Source organism: Homo sapiens, chromosome 2 (assembly GCF_000001405.40).
Source record: "Homo sapiens chromosome 2, GRCh38.p14 Primary Assembly".
Classification (NCBI taxonomy): domain Eukaryota; kingdom Metazoa; phylum Chordata; class Mammalia; order Primates; family Hominidae; genus Homo; species Homo sapiens.
This window is the reverse complement of record NC_000002.12, coordinates 108,210,497-108,231,134: the sequence shown is the minus strand read 5'-3', so window position 1 is coordinate 108,231,134 and position 20,638 is coordinate 108,210,497. Positions and strand designations below refer to the sequence as shown.

The following is a 20,638-nucleotide window of genomic DNA, read 5'->3' as shown; positions in this document are numbered from 1 at the left end:
CCAAAGCATCATCATGGCCCCCTGATAAAGTGGGAGCTTATAGGGTTATGTAATAATTAGTGTCCTGGGTGAATTCAGTTAAATTCTGCAGACCAACCCAGCAGTTCTCTTCCCAGTCCCTGAATGGATAATTCGATTAATATACTTGACCATTGGGGTAGCTCCTGCATTGGGCCCTTTGCCTGTCAAGTAAGAAGGACATGTGAAACCACCTGAAACTGCCACCCAAGTCACCTACATAGCAAATCAATAACAATATCGCATGCTCATAGGGGGCTGGAGTTGTGTTGAAGAGATGAGTGTCATTTTAAAAGTCCTTAAGCTTGTGGTGGGATACGGAGTGGTGGGGGTTTTTATCATTTTCTTTTAACTCCTCAGTGCAGCCTCTTTAGTAGCAAGCTGTATCCTGAAGGAGAACTGGAGATTACCTCAACCAACCAAGTTGCCACTCTGATGGCAGCTTCAGCTCCAGACACAGAGTTGTTTTTAGAATTGATTCCAACAGCCAATTGGGCACATGGTGCACAACCCTGAATTGTTGGATATACTCTTCTCTTCTGATCAGAACAGAAGTCTTATTGGAATTCATGTGGAAAGGACAATAGTTACTACTAGTCTTGCCCTAGAATTATGTTTACTCTACTTGGCCCTGTTATATAAGGGAACAAAGCCATCTGGTGCATCTGCAGAACACTATGCTGATCTACTTTGTCGAGACGTCATGCTGATTGGGTTGGATAAGCAAGAAGCCATGGAGGTCTTGGGAAGATACATGCACTCCAGAGGGTGGATGCAGGAGCTAAACTCTGAGAAGATTCAGGGACTTGTCACTTCAATAAAGTTTTGAGGTGTTTAGAAGTCAGAGGATTTGTAGAATGTTTCTTACAGAGTTCAAGCAAATTGTTGTTGCATCTTGCATCTCCTGCCACAAAGAAGGAAGTTGATCACCTGGATAGGTCCTTTGGGATCTGGAGATGACACCTTCTACATCAGATGACTTAGACCATGGGCAGCTAGGAACAGGTCCTTGGGACAGGAAAGGGCTCTGCAGTAGGTTCACTCTGTAGTGGATGCTTCCCTGCCACGTGGTCTGTGAAACCTACACTCCCCATGGGGGTGTCAGTAGTAAGTGCACATGCAATGGGAGAATCACAACACAGGCTCTTGGAAGAGATGCAGTCCATGCCATCTGCAGCTGAAAAATCCGCCCCCCCTTGGGACATACTACCTGGCATAGTACTGGACCCAGGTAAGTTTGGAATGTCTGGCCATAGGGTGCATATGTCCATGCATTTGAAATTGAGCACTATGAGCCTGTCACATTTACCAAGTTAGAGTGAATAGGCCACCCAGTATTCCTTTGGAGGTTGGAAATGGTACATTCAAGGTCAGGGCTGTGAGTAACAAGCAGTCACTATCCAATTAAAAGAAATCTGGGCATAGAGCTTCTATTCAAACAGATTGTAGGAGGGAGGGGAGGAGGACTGTTGCAACAGGGAGGACCCTAGACATGAGATTGGCAGGTGTCTCTAAGGTCAGCCAGAGAGGAGCTTTTACATTATAGGGAGGAGTAAGGAGGCCAGAAAAAAAAAAAGAAGGACTGCAACAGGGGCTCGGGGATTGTGTGTCTTTGAGACCAGCTGATACTTAGGAGGGTTAAGGAGGCACCATTCTGCATTCAAGTGCTGAGCTAGGCTGATGGTGGGCTGAAGAGATGAGGAGAAAATAGGAGGTGACTTAAAGGAATAAAAGGTCTTCCACCTGTGAGAATGGTTGCAGTCACAGCTCCCAGGAGTCTACCTTCCTGGATCACTTCTATTTGCTAAATGATTTTCCTTCCCCTTTCATCAAATGATAAATGCTCTTTCTCCATTTCCTTGAGACTGGGCTGGCCTGTGGCTTGCTTTATCTGATAGGATGTGCTGGAGAGGTGTGTGAGCTGGAGGCCTCGAAGGCCTTGCAGCTTCTGCTTAGAACCTCTTACAACGCCAACATCAACTCCCCATCAGCCTCCTGGGAAGAAGCCCAGTAACCCCAATGGAAGCATGAGAGGCCCTAGGAGAAGAATTAAGATGCCATCGCCAACAGCTGGCACCAGCATTCCAGAGTCTGAATGAGGCCAGCTTGGATCCCAATCAGCTGCATGAGTGACCCCAGGTGAGTCCCACAGAACTGCCCATATTACTACCTCTCAGAATCATGATAAAATATAGTAAATAATTTTAAGCCATTGCATTCTGGTAATAGTTTGTATACTTCATTGAAGGCTCACCCACTGGGGAATGTGAAGGTGCCAGTTATTAACCTATCATTTCCTAGCTTCCAAACCACCCATCTGCTCTGCTTTGTGAGGTCTGAGCTAGGACTCTGCACTTTACATTATGCTCGCCAGCTGGCTTCAATCAGGCCCTGCCCACACAGGCAGAGAGTGATATTAGGAGGCTGGAGCAAGGAGGACAGACTCTTCCAAACTTGTGAGTGATACCCAAAAATCTTGGTCACTGCATCTGAAGTAGGGCCTTCCTATAGCAGCAGTTAGACTGAGTGGGTGGGTTTGTCAATATGTGCACACTTTCCTCATGGCCCTACTTGGAGATGTCAGCACCTGCCCAGCCCTGGGTTACTGTCCCAGGGGACTTTTCCTTTAAGCTTTTAAATTTTAATAATTCAGCTCCCTCTTTTTGTTCTACCAACCTTAGGTGTGGCAGCTGCTTCTTGCAGTTGCTACTTTTAGAGTACCCCAGAGTTTTATTTTATTTTGCTTTCTGGTTCTTCAACATCTAGTTAACGATCTTTTACATCAAAATCCCTCTGTTTAAATACTGCTGCTGTGGTTTCTGTTTCCTGGCTACTCAGACTGATACAGTGATTATGGTTAATTCATTATTTGTAAGGGAGACTCACAACTTCATTAGGAAACTCAGTGAGACAGGCTGCTCAAAAGCTTAATGATGCGGCTCATACCAATTACAGAAACACTATAGGTAATATAGCCCAGGGAAAGACAAGCCGCCTGCCTGCCTGCCTGCCTGCCTGCCCGCTTGCCTTCCCTCCCTCCTTCCTTCCTTCCTTCCTTCCTTCCTTCTTTCTTTCCTTCCTTTCTTCCTTTCTTCCTTCCTTCCTCATAATATATTGAGAAAAGATGGGCTATTGAGTTAGATATATCAATTAAAAATTCTAAATCCTAAATCAATTACTTACTAGCATTGTAGCCTTGGGAACATTGTTTAACCTGTTCACACTCTGTTACTCCTTCCCCCAGAAACTGCCCACTCTATCCCAGTACACCCTTAGCAGCTTAGGAAGATAACTATTAGTTGTATTTACTGTCAAGGAAGCACAGACACATCTCCGGATTTTCTTAATAAAGAAAATACTTTATTAAGAGCAGTTGGTGCAACAGAGAAATGCTCAGGGTCCATGCCAGAACATTTCTTGGAATAGGTGGTCAAGCAAAGCTTTTACATGCAAAGACATGAGATCGATGACTGTGGGAAGAGAAAAACTAAAAAATGCTGAGCGGTCTTGATACTTAAGGAACTGTGTCAAATGTTGCAATAACAGGAAGGTAGGGAATGTTCATTTTCATTTAAGTACATGGGCAGAGGTTTGTCCCTGAGATAGAGCAAAAAAAGTTATAATGAGGGAAGTTCATATAAAACTGAGGGCCAGCCATCACAGTATATCCAGCCTCAAGTTATGTCAAATGTAGTTTGATCAGCTTTGTCAGTCTCTCCTCTGTTTTAATACAGGCTCAGATAAACTGTCCCTGAGCAACTCAGGGATAAGGGAAATTAGAAGTTGTAGATGGCTGAGTGCAATAGTCTTCAGGGCCAGAGTTTCCTGAGCATTGTCCCTGGAAAACCAGTGGAAACGTCTGTTGAGCACGCTAGCAATGGTGAGCTGTTTTATGTCCCTAAGATGAGGCATTTTAAAAGTGGAATGCCTAAAGTGAAAAACATAAATATAGCATAAAATGTTGTATTAAACAGCCAAGAGTTGAACCCCAAGGGTATCCAGTCTATCAGATCCCAGGAGGTCTTTGGATGGAAATCTCTGGATTATACACATTGCTTGTTGAGTTTCTTGACGTGAAGAGTCAATGCTCTGGGGGATGTTGTCCACAGTATGGTTTCCTTTTTTTTAAAAAAGCAAGTGTTTCACCAGACAGTCCTAGGAGCTCACACAGTGGATTGTCTGTGGGTGAATCCAGCAGTCTTAAGTGGTTTTCAGTTTTTCCAGGTTCAGTAAGTTGTCAGGCTTCAAATCTTGGGACTTCTTCAGATCCTGGGGAAAAGGCCAGCTTCGGGGTATCCTAGAGCCTTGATAGAGATCTGTGCAGTCAAGCTGTGGTTCTCAGTAATGCTGAGTCAGAAGTGAGAGAGAAAAATTAAAATATTGGTCTGGAGGGTCGGAAACAGATATTGAAGGAAACTGGAAGTCCTGAAAACTTGGTGAAGCTTGACAGTGTGTACAAGGTGACAGGAAATAACACTGTCTTTTGTTTTCACAGTGGGAGAAATCAAGACAGTTTGCTTATCCATCAATTATTACAGTTTTTAAACATATTCAAAGTAGCATAAAGATAATGAATATGATCAGAATCTGATATCCCTGAAGGATGTTGTGGGTTGAATTGTGTGCCCCAAGAGACATGTTCAAATCCTAACCTCTGGTGACTGTAAACATCATCCTATTTAGAAGTAGTGTCTGTATTAGTCTGCACTAAAATACAATATTCTGGTGTGTTCAAACAACAGAAATGTGCTTCTTATAGTTCTTGAGGAAGGGAAGTCCAAGCCACATTAAAGGTACTGTGCCTACCTGCTAAGGAGTTCAGAAAGTTCAAAAAGCAGTATGGATAAGGAGATGATAAAAGGGAAGAGGGCAGCCCAAAGATCATCTATATCCCCAAGCTGATAGCATAATGAAGATACCTACTTTGTGACAATGTTTTATTGATTCTGCAAACTTATCTCACAGACCTAAAAAAAAAACCTGAGCAATATTTATTCAGTAATTAGGAGGTCTATGCCCCACTGAGTCAGAGAAAGCAGCAAGCTTGATAGGTTTGCTATGGTCAGAAGATGATCTTGCATCAGTTATTGGAACTGACTAGTTAGCAGGTTCCCTTTTGCCTGAAGGAACGCTAATAAGAACACAATTCTAAGCTGATATTCATCGATGTTTGAAAAGAAGGAAAATTTGAATCCAAGTCCAAGTTAGGAAACCCGAAATCATCAGTGTTTTGTTAATCCTCGTGAGGGCTTTTCTCCTGGCTTACAGATGTTCACCTTCGTGCTGTGTCCTCACGTGGCCTTTCCTTGGTGTGTGCTTGTGAAGAGAGAGCACAGGCTCTCTAGTGTCTTTTCTTAGATGGGCACTAATCCCATTAGACCAAGGGCCAATGTTATGACCCCTTTTACCCTTAATCACTTTCTTCCTCCAAATGTAGCTCCACTGGTATTTAGAGCTTCAAAGTATGAATTTGGTGGGGGGACATGATTTAGTTTACAATTGGGTCTTTGCGGGATGTAATCAAGTTAAATGGGACCATATGAATTAGAATGGGCCATAATTCAATGATTAGTGTCCTTAAAATAAGAGGATATTTGGACACAAATGCACAGAAGGTCAAACAGGGTACACACACACATACACACACACACATACACACACACACAGGGCAGAAGGCCCTATGATGATGGGTGGAGATGAGAGTGATACGTCTCACAAGTCAAACTAGCCAAGGGTTACTGACCACCATGTGAAGCTAGAAGAGGTGCTGAAACATTCTTCCTAAGTCTCAGGGGGACCACAGACCTGCTGACACAATTCCAGATTTCTAGCCCTCAGAGCTGCCAGGGAATAAATTTAAGCCACTCACTTTGTAGTACTTGTTACAGCATCCCTAGGAAATGAATGCAAATTTGTTAGAGTCTTCTATTAAAAGACAACATTTATCCCTACAGTCACCCCCATACCTCCTTTTGATCAAAGGCAATCTCAAAGAAATATCATTCTTGACCATGAACTACTAACCCATGGTGGGTCTCATTAGATGTGGCCTCAGTATTTCACAGATAAAGGAAAAAGGACAATTTGCCATATAGGACTTTTAAAGTTTTTTTTTTTTTTTTTTTTTTTTTTGTAGGAAGTTTCCATAAGGAATCTTAGATTAGACTTTTAAACCTTCTTGAAAACCAAGCCATTACACTTCACCAGCAGTACTTCTAGTTTTTGGGTGAATTCTTCTCTTCTCAAGGACATAAAATATGTTAAATTTCTTCAAACTGCCAGGAAATGATCTCTATTTTTTACCTATATATTTGGGAATTTATAAGTCATGTATGGCTTTTCCAAGAGGGCTTTGAATGTACTGACTTTTTCAAGTCAACGTTAGTTCCTTAAAAATGTCTGGTCATACCTGAGTGACTATCATTTTAAAATATAATGTCTCAGGCAAGGCCTTGAACCAGTGTTTTAAGTTATATCCTGTTAACCAGAATAGACTCCTACTAAATGTATGTAAATAACTATATTGCCATGAAAATAAGAATTTCTGGGTTCTGAAAGGTTCAGGCAGGGAGAAAAGGATAAATGTTTCATTTTTGTTAGCAAAATCAAGGTCGATTAAATTGTTATGTTATAGATGACCTACGAAAACAGATAAAAGATTCCTTGCATTTACAAAGTGTAACAATAAAGCAACAGCAATATTCCAAGCAAGCCCACAATTATTCTTCATCAGCTCATTCAGTCCTATGTAATTAATTACTGTTCTGCTCATCTTGGGTTAGCAGTCTCATAAACTCATCTGCTTCTTGAATAGTGTTCTGGAAATCTTGACCCAGTCCACTGTATGGTTTCAGATTTTTCCAGATGATGTCATCAAATGCCTGTGCCTGTGAGTACCAAAGCCAAGCCTCATGCATCCAAATCTTAGCAAGCATAACTATAGTCACCAGTTACCTGAGTGCGTCACATGACTCACCTCTCTTGTTGGTGGAGGGCTCAATTCCACAGTTTCAGCTTAGCATTCCACTTATAATAAAGAGTCCATTGAACCTCTCCTCACTTGGAGACACATTTTTGTCCCACATTCAAGTCCAGTTTTTGGGTCAAAGCCCTAGGAAAGAAAACTGGATCTGAGAGATCCAGAGGCAGATGATAATAGAAATTAAAAGGCACAACACAGGTGAACATGACTAATTCCTGCCAAATAAGCCAAACCTTCCATTTCATGGACAAAGTTCAGCTCGTATCCATGGTGTAAATGAGGTCTAGGGAGTTTGAAGGCTACTGACAGTAGGGGAGATAGGGTGTACGTGGGTAAGAGTGGATATTCCCACTCCCTAGGCCCTCCCGTTAACATGGGTGAAAGCCACTTTGACACCCATGGGTGGCACACTTTTGCAGTTGCCAGGACATCCTATGTCAATAAGATGATGCCTTCTGTGGACAGGCACCAAGACCTGTCAAGAGAGTGAAGCCAAAAGGTAGAGAAAGATCACAGAAACTCTTGCAGGGGGCAATAAAAGCAGCAAAGAAATTCGTCATGGCTGAGGCATCTGCAGATTCTCTGTTCCTGAGAACGCTGAGACCTCTTTTCCATTGGAAAAGGCTGGCTGGGCTGCCCGAAGCCCTTCTGAGAAAACAGGAGCCACCCCTACCCTTCACAGTGTTCAGTGGTCTGCATTTAAAGGGAAAACTGGACTTGTTGGTCAGGCAGCTTGCTGGTCTCCTGAGCTACTCTATTGACTGTGGTTCCTTTCATACCCTTATCACTGCCTATGTGTGTTGAATATATTTGCCTGACTGTTGGTGTGTCCTCACAGTAAACTGTGAATTCGGAGAGCATTTAATTGGCCATTGAGTTATTGTGGAACTTCCTGCAAAACCAGGCTGATTCTAACCTGGCAGAAGAGCCATTATAAACCTGGGTAACAGGGAAGCTGGAGGTGAGCCTCGAGTGCACTGACATATAGACATGATATGAAATTCAAGTTGGAATCACAAGAGAGAATGTAAATGATTTAAACATAGACATTGCACAAACAATATTATAATTAGATATTGAGACATGGGTGTAGGGAGGCAGCAGATTAATAGGCAAATTAATGTTCTCACACTTCAGAGGATCGAGCCAATATGTAGTATAAAACCAAAATATTTTTATTCAAATCTAGTATGCATAATATGATTTCAATTTGGGGATAAAAGATAATAATCCCTGATTGTGAGGATTTTGCACTGTAGTGAGAAGAGGAGCATCTAAAGGAATCACAATAGATTTTGTTATGAGAGAATTGTGATAGAGCTCTACAGAGTGATATGGGAACTAAGACAAGGCATTTAAACCAGAGGACAACTCAGGCCTCCTAGCAGAGCAATTGCTTGGCTAAGACTCAGAGAAGAAGGAGAAGTAAGCCAGGACCAGAGAAGGGGGGCAGCCATGACAGGAGGTAGAAGGGGTCAAGCACCCACACATACAGAGCCAGTGCAGGAGCTCAGGGCATATTGAGTTGGAGGGTCTGTGGAGAAAGATGTAAGGAGGAATTTTCAGTAGTAAGTAGCCCGTGCTTTGGGGATCATGCACACTTCAATGGCACTTGAAGTGATAGAGTCAAAGATTGGCCAGGACTCAGAGAGAGGCGTGGAAAATGGGCTTAAAGAGGAGCAAGAGAAGAACGGGAACCCAGCCAGAACTTCTCAACTGGGCATCCCTGGGAGAATTATGTCTGAATATCCTAAAGCCAGTGGTTTTTTTAATTGAACATGTATCTAGACCACTGTAAGGCCTGTCAAAACACAGGTTGCTGGGCCCCACAATGGGAGCTTCTGTTCTGGTGGGAGTGGCTGTGCCCAAGAAGTTGCATTTCTAACATTTCTAAGAAGTCTCCAGGTGATGCCTAAGCTGCTGATCGCAGGCCCCCACTTTGAGAACATTATGCCTAAGGCATCCATTATATGCAATAAATTGACTTCATTGCTATGCAGCAGAGAATGGTATTAATTATGTACTACCTTGAGAAAATTGGGAAAAATCATCCTATTATGATCCCTCATTTTTTGTACTCTGGGGCTCAGACACAGAATCCTGGTAGGTAAAAACTGGAGGACTGAGATGAGGAGGACTAAGAGGAAAGAAGAGAATGGGAGTGGGGCCAACGGAGGCAAAAGGTTACAGCATCCAGGAGAGAAAGTCCACCCAGAGGACCCAGCCTGCCCAATATTAAGTAGAGGAGAGTAAATGTCAGTTTTAACTTAAGTGAATTAGGAGAAATGTGCAATCCTCATGTGCCACCCAGGATTATTGCAAGAACTCAGTAAGATAGATAATCATTGTAGATAAAGCATTTGGTAAGCAAATACCAGTGGGCAAACACAAATTATGACTGTTATTCTGCACTGCTAGGCTTTTCATCATTTGTACTGCTTTTCATCCACGATGAGACTTCATGGGCTTTCAATGAAGATGACATAGCAGAATCTTCAATGTTTGAACTATTATTAATGAAAAAATATAAATTCCCATTTTTATAATATTTAAGAGCATAAAGAAAGCATTTTCACCTGTATTATTTAATTGGATTTTAAAAAGTAATCCCTATTTAAAGAAGGAGTGTACTTGATTTCAGGCCCAGAATCGTGGGGTGTCTGGGAAAGGAACCATGTTTTTGGCTCCTGAGGCTGCAGAGGGCATCTCAGGTGACTTCTGAGAATTGGCCAGGATCAGCTCCAGTCCCCTGGCAGGGATGGAGCCCAAGGCCTGCCTGTGGCCATGCATGCCCTGTGCTATTTGTTGCTTCCCTGTGTCCTCAGGAAAGTCAACTTGCAGCAACCATTAGGGTGCCTAGAGGCCCAGAACTGTCCACAGAGTGGGCAGGCCTGGGCTTCCAGAAAGAAGTATTAGAGCAGGAGCCTGCCTGGAGCCTTTCCGGCTGGCTGCCCTGCCAGCTGTGCCCAGGCCAGGTCTGATCTGTGTGTGGGCCCCAGAGTCTGTAGCCTGGTTACTCTCCCCTTGGGAACCCCGTGTCCTGCTGTGCCCAGTGAGTGCTTGGCAGCCTTCCCTGAGCTGGGACCAGTGGAGGATTTTACCCCAAGCTAGGTGACAGTTTGTTCCTTCATGCTAAAAGCGAAGTGTGCAGCCTTTTAACTTGGGCTCAGTGTCCCATTCAGGACACTGTATTTTCAGATCCCATACTGATGTGCTTCACAGGGGTCTGACCAAATCTGAATCTTTTTCGTAAACCTTTCCAGCGTTTCTTCAGAGAAGAGTGTTATCCTTCCAATCCTACCTCCTGACCCGCACAGCTGGGACCTCTCTCCGTGGTATCTTGCTGCCACTGCTTCAACACTCTACAGACTTGCCCTGAATCTCACGCTTCAGGAATCAGGGCAGGTCCCTTCCTCAGTTAATAAAAGGCTCTTGTTCAAATCAAAATTAGACTAATTTTCCTTCTTATTGTATTATTTATAACAATAATGGGTCACGTTTATTGACATGCTTAACCTAGTGTACATACAAGACCTCACTTGTCCCAACAGCTATATAAAGCAGTTAATATCATGACTCCTGTGTCTCCAGTGCAACAGCTGTGGCTCAGAGAGATGAAGTGGTGGTTTCAAGGTCACAGGGCTGGTATGTGGCACAGCAAAATCAGCCTCAAACCCAAGTCTCAGCTCTAAACAGCCAGGCCATGCTGTCTTTCCGGGAACAGCCGGAGGCCTCTCCTTTCTCCTATGCCAGCTGCTTGGATGCTGGAGCACAGTGGCCTGACAACACGTGACCACCTTTAATGGACAACCATTCATTGTGTACCTGTCCAATGAACACACTATCCTTTCAGTGAGGACAGAGTGTTATCTGCCCTCAGGAACACTCTGCACCTTAGACTTGGTCCAAGTCTCCCTGGGACAAGCCTTATCTGTAAATCTATAATATTTATAATGATAATTTATAGTTGAAGGCCTGTGATAGGCAGAATGATGGCCCCGGAAGATATCCATATCCTAGTCACCAGAACCTGTGAATATGTTTGTCAGTTTCCTTCAAGTTTACATCTTGAGACTAGGGAGGAAAAAAACATGGCAAAAAGTTTTAAAATGCATTTTGGGGCTAAACTGCTCGGTTTTGAGACTGGTTTGAAGTCTGGTGGAGGCTGGGGCAGAGCTGGAGTCTGGTTTGTTGATAGCTGCATCTAGCAGGAAGTGAGGGGGAATGAGCAGGAAAGACCTTGAGCCATTGACCAGGCCCTTGGTGTTCCTGTGCCACGTGGGCTAACAAGGTCGGAGGGAGGCATAGGACACTGGCCTGTGCTTCAGGAGACTGTCCCAGGCTCTCCACAGGTGCTGCAGCTCTGAGTCCCCTTTCCTCCTCCCTCCCCACAGATTTAGATTAATCTCTTCTCTGAACAAGAGTTTAGATTTTTTTTTCAGATTTGCTGTTTGGCTTCTGTTCACAACCGTTAAAAAGTGTGAGTCATCCATTTAAAACTGACTTAATCAAAGCTTAATTTGTTATATTTCTCAGTGTCTGCCTTGGACAAATCTCTGATTTTACCAAAAGCTGCTATGTTCAAAATCCAACATCCCATACATAAAGTGTTGACTAATTAGTTCTGTCTGTGCAGCAGCTCTCACAGCCAAACCTGGCCCATGGTTAGAATGCATTAAGGGTGAGATATATTTTTTAAGCTGCCATGAGGTTGGAAAAAAGGCCATGATTCTCTGCATTTTCTTATTTTGACGTTGGTGCAATAATGTTGAAATTATTTGCAATTCAGTGTGAGGTACTCATGGCAGTACACGGCGATGGGTGGAAGTATGTTAGTTGAACATTATTATAATATTCGTAAGAATTTAAGCCCATTATTTTCTTGTCTGGTACCTAATTGGACTGCATTTAATTTATTTCTTCATCAATAAGCACTCATATATTATTTCTTGGTTATTTTATTGTTGTCAGTACTGACAACACAATTTACAAAACTTTAAAAATTACATTTAAATAGAAACTTCATTGTTACTTTAAAGACTCATATAATAAATGATAGTCTTCCAGTTTCCATTCAATTCATCAGACGTTTATTAAGCAGCTACCTTGGACCAGATACTGTTCCAAGTTTTTCAGTTTCATCAGTGTTTTACATAGATAGATAGATAGATAGATAGATAGATAGATAGATAGATAGATAGATATAAAATCTGTGCCAATGAGCTGTAATTTTAGCCATAATCTTGGACAAGAAAGTAGTGAATTTATTTCCTTTAAGGACGTGTATTTGTAACTCATTTTTATGCTGTGTCTTTGTGCTGATGATATTTTGCAGTTGTCACAGTGACTTATGAAAAATTCTAAGGGGGAATCAGGCTAGCTCCCTAAGAATCACACTTTTAAACTCATGGTTTTAAAAAGTCTGGCCATTAAGTGCAATGATTAAGGTTAAATTTGTGTACCTTTTACCCAAGAGGTCAAAAGTCAGATTGTCTTCAGAGTCTCACTAATGAACAGCACATTCAATTCATTATGGTGAAAGATGCTTGAATTTTGACCACCACCCCGTCTTTAGACTATTTAGTGTCACTATAAAGGAATAGCTGAGGCTGGGAAATTTATTTTAAAAAATGTTTATTTGGCTCATAATTCTGATGGCTGGAAGACTGGACACGTGGTGAGGGACTCAGACTGCTTCCACTTCTGGCAGAAGGTGAAGGGGGTCAGTGCATCCAAAAATCACATGGTAAGACAGGAAGCAAGAGAAGGGAGTTTCCAGGCTCTTTTTAACAACCAACTCTTGTGGGAAGGAATAGAGCAAGAGCTCACTCACTCCTGGGGAGGGTATTAATCTATTCCTGAGGGGTCTCCCACTATCACCCAAACACCTTCTGTTAGACCCCACCTCCAACATTTAGAATCAGATCTCAACATAAGGTTTGGAAGGGACAAATGTCCAAACCATGGCAATCTCTTTCCCAGGGAATACTCATCCTGTATATTTTTCCATGTGAGATCCAACCATAACCTAGGCATCTCTTGTGAGAAAACAATGCTGGTAGAATTCTGAGATTCAGTCCACTGGATACCTGTGGGAGGCCTTGAATGTTGCCTTTGTAAATCATCTCTAGTTCTGGCCATGTGATTGTTGGGCAATGGGCAGAGGCTGAGAATGGTCTTCCTGGAGCCTCCAATTTAGTGAGCAAAGTGTAGAGTATGTTAGAAGAGATGATACTTGTGATGGAAATGATTAGGGCAGAATAAGGGGAACCAGGAAGTGCTGGATTGTAAGTAGAATGATCAGGGAAGACATGACTGAAATGATGCTTTCTGGGTAAAGATTGAAGGATATGAGGAGAGGGTCATGTAGCTGTTTGATCGAAGAGCATTCTTGGCAGAGGAAATGCCAGGCCAAAGTCTCTATGGCAGGACTACACTAGGTGAGTTCAAGGAAGAGTGGGGAAGTCACTAGGTCTGAAGAGAAGTGAGTGTGCAAAGGTTAGAAGGTGGTTAGAAAGGGACCTGGGGACAGATGGTGTAGGACAGGAGACCGTGATACAATTCAGCTTAGACTGAATGGGTTGGGGCACTGCTGCAGCATTTTGATCAGCACAGTGATGTGATCCATTTAGGATCATATGGTGACTGGGTAATTATGACATAGAAGGAGGGATATTCATTAGGTTGTGATTGCAAGTCTTCAGGGAAGACACGCCAGTGACTCAGAGGAGGTTGGTCACAGTAATGTTGATAAGAAGAGGTCATGTTCTGGATATAGTTTGAAGTCAGAGCCAAATGATGTATGGATTGGATGTAGTGTGCAAGAGAGAGAGAAATAGAATAAGCTTTGGCTGAGCAACTGAAAAGATGGAGTTGCCTTTTAATTGAGATGAAGAAGACAGTGGGTGAATTAGGTTTGTGGGTTTGACTTTTTCTGTTTGAAATGTATATAAAACAAGGAAGTAGAGATATGAAGTAGGCAGTTGGGCTGACAATTTAGGAATTCAGGGTTGAGATCTGAGGTGGAGATAAAAATTTGGAAGATGGTACCATGTTGCAGAAATTTAAAATCCATGTGAGAGAATGAGATTATCTAAGAAGCGAGCCAGAGAAAGAAGAGATAGAAAGCAGAAGTAACATAAAAGCTGTAATACTATTTAAGCCTTTTTCTCTGTTTTTATGATGTTTCTTTTATAAGGATTATTTTTAAAATTTCTTTGCCACATTATTCTAATGAGTCCACTGTCTAGTTTTACGAAAACACATAATAATGTTCCTCAATATCTATATTTCACTATGCCACTCGACCTACCCAGCATTTAAAGGTGCACTTGAGTGTTTATGAAACGTTCTTTTAATCTCCTGCTATATAAAAAGGAAAAAGTCAAAAATATTAACAGCTGATGGACAAAGAAATAAATTACGTATTTGCATGTGGAAATAATAAAGCAACTTAGAACTAAATCACAAAGTTATCTGGGAAGGACATTGAATGTTTTATTGTAAATCTTTAACATAACTCAAAAATTAGTAGTAGTATTGGAGAACATGCAAACCTCATGTTAGTTTACATTTCAAAATCAATTATTCATGTCAGAAACATGTTCAAATTTCTGTGAAAGTTTAGAAGATATGTATCACAAATAAAAGCATTTCAAATGCTCACACAGGATTTTTGGGAGAGAGGAGAGAGAAACCACATTAATTTAAACAAGAAAAGTTTAATACAGAGAATGATTAACTCTAACAAGAGATTGGAGTAACGAGGTGTTGGCAAGTAAGAAGTAAAACTCTGAAGAATATAGGAATATCAAATATAAGGAACAGCCACTATCCCTAGGGCTGAGATAGAGTAAGAGCCTCTTCGAAAAGAACCTGTCTTCCCATGCCCACCAGGACTGAGACCCAGACCTTATGGGAGAGGACGTGGCATGACTCATGGGACAACAGAGAAGCTACTGCGGTTCAATTCTGGAAGAACTTGCTCTACTCTCTGAAACTTGCAGGAAATCCACCCTCTAGGGTGTGGGGAAGGTGTTCACAAGGATGTGTCTCCCTGGAGGCATCCTACTACAAAACCATCCTGGGAGGAAGCTGGGGAAGCACTGGACACCCCCACTGCAGGAGCTGAACCCTGGGGAAGCCATGTGTGCTGCAGGAGTGGGACCTAGAGGAGCTGGCACAGTGGAGAAGAACCACGGGAGCCTGGCCAGTGAAAACCCTGAACCAGGAAGCAAAACTCTTTCCTCCCACAATGTCTCTCCAGTGCTCTCTGCTGACAAGGTTTCAACATCACAGCAGCTGGCAAAGGAAAAATATTGAAAGGGTTCAGATTCAGTTTCGCAGAGAGGGCAGACAGTGAATTTGGACTGAGAAGCAATCAATCGATTACTGGACAGCATGGAAAAATTCGTATGAGTTTGTGTAGTTTTATAAAATTATCAGAGTCTATCAAAAACACATTTTAAAAGTCACACACATCGTTAAATACCAGAGCATTTCAATTACTATCTAAAGTTTTCATTACATTTTTATATTCCAATAAACATGAAATTTCCTGATATTTTGGCATAGTATCAAAGTATTTTGAGTGATCAGACAGAAAATTTAGAAAATTGAAGTATTCCTTTTCTGAAGGAGTGTGTGTGTGTGTGTGTGTGTGTGTGTGTATTCTGTGGTAGTGGAGTAACAACCACAAGGATTACATTTATTTTAAGAATTGTAAAATATACGTAACATATAATTCACTATTATTTTAACTATTTTTAAGTGTACTATTAAGTAGCTTTAAGTACATTCACAACGTTATGTAACCATCATCACTATCCATTTCCAGAACTTTTTCATTATCCCAAACAGAAACTATACTCACTAAAAATGTCTCTATTACCTTCTCCTCCAATCCCTGGTAACTTCTACCTTCTCTCTCCATAAATTTCACTATTCTAGGTGAGTCATAGAATGAGGGAGGTATTTTTCTGTCTCCAATTTTTTGAAGAGTTTGAGAGGGTTTTTGTTCGCATTTAAATGTTCAGTGGAATATGCCACTGAAGCTATCTAGCTCTAGGCTTTTCTTTGTTCTCTTTATTAGCTGTGAGTCTGTTCATATTTTCTATTCTTTCACAAGTCAGTTTAGTATATCGTGTGTTTCTAGGAACTTGTCTATTTCATCTAGGGTATCCAAGTTGTTCATGTACTGTTGTTCATAGTATTCTTCCATAATCATTTTTATTTCTATGAAATCAGTAGCGATGTCCCACTTTCATTTCTTTATTTTATTTTATTTTATTATTATTATACTTTAAGTTTTAGTGTACATGTGCACAATGTGTAGGTTAGTTACATATGTATACATGTGCCATGCTGGTGTGCTGCACCCATGAACTCGTCATTTAGCATTAGGTATATCTCCTAATGCTATCCCTCCCCCCTCCCCCCACCCCACAACAGTCCCCGGAGTGTGATGTTCCCCTTCCTGTGTCCATGTGTTCTCATTGTTCAATTCCCACCTATGAGTGAGAACATGCAGTGTTTGGTTTTTTGTTCTTGCGATAGTTTACTGAGAATGATGATTTCCAATTTCATCCATGTCCCTACAAAGGACATGAACTCACCATTTTTTATGGCTGCATAGTATTCCATGGTGTATATGTGCCACATTTTCTTAATCCAGTCTATCATTGTTAGACATTTGGGTTGGTTCCAAGTCTTTGCTATTAACACTTCCAAGTGAAGTCTCCAAATCAATTTTTACTCTTGAACACATTCTAAACATCTTTAACCTTAACTGCCATTTCTTAATGACCCCTTTGGAGCCTTTCTTATAGGCATTGGGGATGGCATTGAATCCATAAATTACCTTGGGCAGTATGGCCATTTTCATGATATTGATTCTTCCTACCCATGAGCATGGAATGTTCTTCCATTTCTTTGTATCCTTTTTTATTTCATTGAGCAGTGGTTTGTAGTTCTCCTTGAACTGGAAGGTTTACAGGTTTACCACTGTAAATGAGGTTTACAGTGTCCATGGCTATGTGCTTGTGTGTGCTTTCATAGCAGATATCATCATTTTATTTCCATATTTAGAACTCCACTAAGCATCTCTTGTAGGGCCAGTCCTATGGTGATGAATTCCCTTAGCATTTGCTTGTCTGGAAAAGACATTTTTCTCCTTCACTTATTAAGCTTAGTTTTGCAGAATATAAAATTCTTGTCTGGCATTTTTTTCCCGCATTGGCGGTTCAACAATATCCACTGTTCTGCAGCCACCACTGCTGATACCCAGGCAAACAGGGTCTGGAGTGGACCTCTAGCAAACTCCAACAGACCTGCAGCTGAGGGTCCTGTCGGTTAGAACATAAACCAACAAACAGGAAGGACATCAAGGTGTACAGATGGGACACCAAAACCCATCTGTACATCACCATCATCAAAGACCAAAGGTAGATAATACCACAAAGGTGGGCAAAAAACAGAGCAGAAAAACTGGAAACTCTAAAAATCAGAGCACCTCTCCTCCTCCAAAGGAATGCAGCTCCTCACCAGCAACAGAACAAAGCTGGATGGAGAATGACTTTGACGAGTTGAGAGAAGAAGGCTTCAGATGATCAAACTACTCCGAGCTACAGGAGGAAGTTTGAACCAATGGCAAAGAAGTTAAAAACTTTGAAAAAAAATTAGACGAATGGATAACATCTGCATCATGCAATATATCCACATAACAAACCCACGCATGTACCTTCTGGATCTAAAATAAAAATAAAATAAAATATTTTTTAAAAGATATTCCATGCACGTGGAATGTAAAAGCAGAGGTAGCTACATCTATTATTTCAGAGAAAACAGACTTTATGTCAAAAACTGTTAAAAGACACAAAGAAGGTTATTATATAGTGATAAAGCAATTAACTCATCAAGGGGATATAAGAATTATACAGAAACATGCACCCCAAATTGGGAGCTCCTAAATATATAAAACAAGCATTAAGAGATCTGAACAAAGATATAGATTGCAACACAGTAATAGTAGGGGATTTCAGTTCCCCACTTCAAACAATAGATTGACCAGTCAGAAAATCAATAAGGAAACATTAGATTTCAACTATAGAGCAAACGTATCTAACAGATATACACAGAGTTTTCCACCCAACAGCAACAGAATACACCTTCTTTTCAAGTATACATCTATCATTCTCCAAGTTAGATCATATGTTAGGCACAAAACAAGTCTTAACAAATTTAGGAAGATTAAATCATGTTATGCGTCTTTTACAACCATGACGCTTTGAGACTAGAATTCAATAACAGGATGAATCATGGGAAATTAACAAACATGTGGACACTAAACAATGTGCTGTAGAACAAGTATTGGGTCAAAGAAGAAATTATAGGCAAAAATTAAAAATATCTTTAGCATGTAAAAATAGAACACAACATATCAAAATTTATGGGGTGCAACAAAAACAGTTCTAAGAAGGAAACTTACACTAATTCTTTTTTTCTTCCTAAAGAAAATAAAAAACAATCCCATGTGCAATGCTGCATGCCTGTACTCTCTCCCACTCAGAGGGAGGATCAATTCAGCCTGAGTTCAAACCCAGCGTGGGCTATATTGTAAGACTTTGCCTCTAAAAATAATACTATTTTAAAAAAAAAAAAAGAAAAGAAAGATCTCAAACAACCCAGTGTTACACCTCAAGGAACTAGGGGAATAAAAAAAGAACAAACTAAGCCCAAAGTTAGCACAAAGGAAAGAAATAACAAAGACCAGAGCAAAAATAAATAAAACAGAGGTGTTAAAACACTTAAAGATATCGATGAATCTATGAGTTGGTTATTTGAAAAGCTAAACAAAATTGACAAACCTTTAGCTACACAAACTAAGAGAGGCCTCATTAAATTCAGAAATGAAAGAGGAGACATTACAACTGATAACATAGAAATACAAATAATCATAAGATTACTATAAACAACTATATGTCAACAAATTAAATAATCTGATAGAAATGGGTAAATTCCTAGAAACATTACCTAGCAAGACTAAAACACAATAAAATAGAAAATCTGAACAGACCAATAATGAGTAAGGAGATTACATAATCAATTAAGTCTCACATCAAAGAAAACCCCAAGACCTCATAACTTTATGGCTCAATTCTACCAAACATTTAAAGAAGAACTAATACCAATCCTATTCAAACCTTTGCAAAACCTGAAGTGGAGGAAGCACTTCCAAACTCAATTTACAAGGCCAGAATTATCCCAATGCCAAAGCCAAAGAAAAACACTATAAGAAAACAAAACTACAGACTATTATTCCTAATGAACACAGATAAAAATATTGTCAACAAAATACAAGCAAACTATATTCAAAAGTACATTAAAAAGATCATTTGCCATAATCAAGTGGGATTTATCCTTGGGATGCAAGGATGATTCAACATATACAAATCAATAGATGCAACATAATTTAATAACAGAATGAAGGACAAAAACATATCAATATCTCAATCAACACACAAAAAAAGCATTTGACTAAATTTAACATCTTTTCATGATTAAAAAAACTGTCAATAAATTAGGTATAAAAGGAATGTTTCTCAACACAATAAAGGCTATATACAATAAGCCCACAGCTAACATCATAATCAATGGTGAAAAGTTGAAGGCTTTTCCTCTAAAATAAAAAACAGGACAAAGATGCCTCTTCACACCACTATGTTTAGCATAGTACTAAAAGTTCCAGCCAGAAAAATTAAGCAAGAAAAACAAAGAAAGTCATGCAAATAGAAAAGGAGGAAGTGAGATGTTCTGTTTGCTAATGATATGATCTTATATAGAGAAAATTCTAAAGACTCCTCCCAAAATCTCTTAGAATTGCCAAAGAAATTCAGTGAAGTTGCAGAAAACAAATTCACCTTACAAAAACCAGTTGCATTTCTGCACACTAACAATGAACTATCTTTTTAAAAAATAAAAAAATAAACCAATTTACAATAGCACCAAATATAAAATAAAATACTTAGGAATAAATTTAACCAAGAATGTGAAAGATCTATATACTGAAAATGGTAAAACATTGATGAAAGAAATTGAAGATGACACAAATAAACTGAAAGATTTTCTGTGTTAATGTATTGAAAGAATATTTTTAAAATATCTGTACTACCCAAAGCCATTCATAGACTCTATGCAATCTCAATCAAAGTCTCAAGGTCATTCTTCACAGAAATAGAAAGAGAAGTTATAAAATTCACATGAAACCACAAAAGGCCACGCCAAAGCCATCTTGAGCAAAAAGAACAAAGCTAGAGGCATCACACCACCAGATTCCAAAACACTTTACAAAGCTATAGTCGTCAAAACAGCATGGTGCTGGCATAAAACAGATACATCATCCAATGAACTAGGATAGAGAGTTCAGAAATAAACACCCACAATTACAGTCTATTAATTTTTGAAAAAAGTGCCAGTAACACACAATGGGAAAAGAACAGTCTCTTCAATAAATGGTGTTGGGAAAATTGGATATCCACATGCAGAAGAATAAAAGTAAACGATTTTCTTACCCCTTATACAGGAATCAACTCAAAATGGGCTAAAGACTTAAAATATATGAGCTGAAACTGTAAAACTACT

At 40.3% G+C, this 20,638-nt stretch overlaps 1 long non-coding RNA gene and 1 pseudogene across 1 annotated transcript in view; both read left to right on the top strand.

Annotated features, from left to right (window-relative positions):
- Positions 4,801–5,212, top strand: SETD6P1 (SET domain containing 6 pseudogene 1; annotated as a pseudogene).
- The window catches only part of LINC01594 (long intergenic non-protein coding RNA 1594), a 50,094-nt gene continuing 42,749 nt past the window's right edge, over positions 13,294–20,638 (top strand). Inside the window, exon 1 of the long non-coding RNA NR_131251.1 lies at positions 13,294–13,440. This is a non-coding gene — a long non-coding RNA (long intergenic non-protein coding RNA 1594). The remainder of the gene's footprint in view (positions 13,441–20,638) is intronic.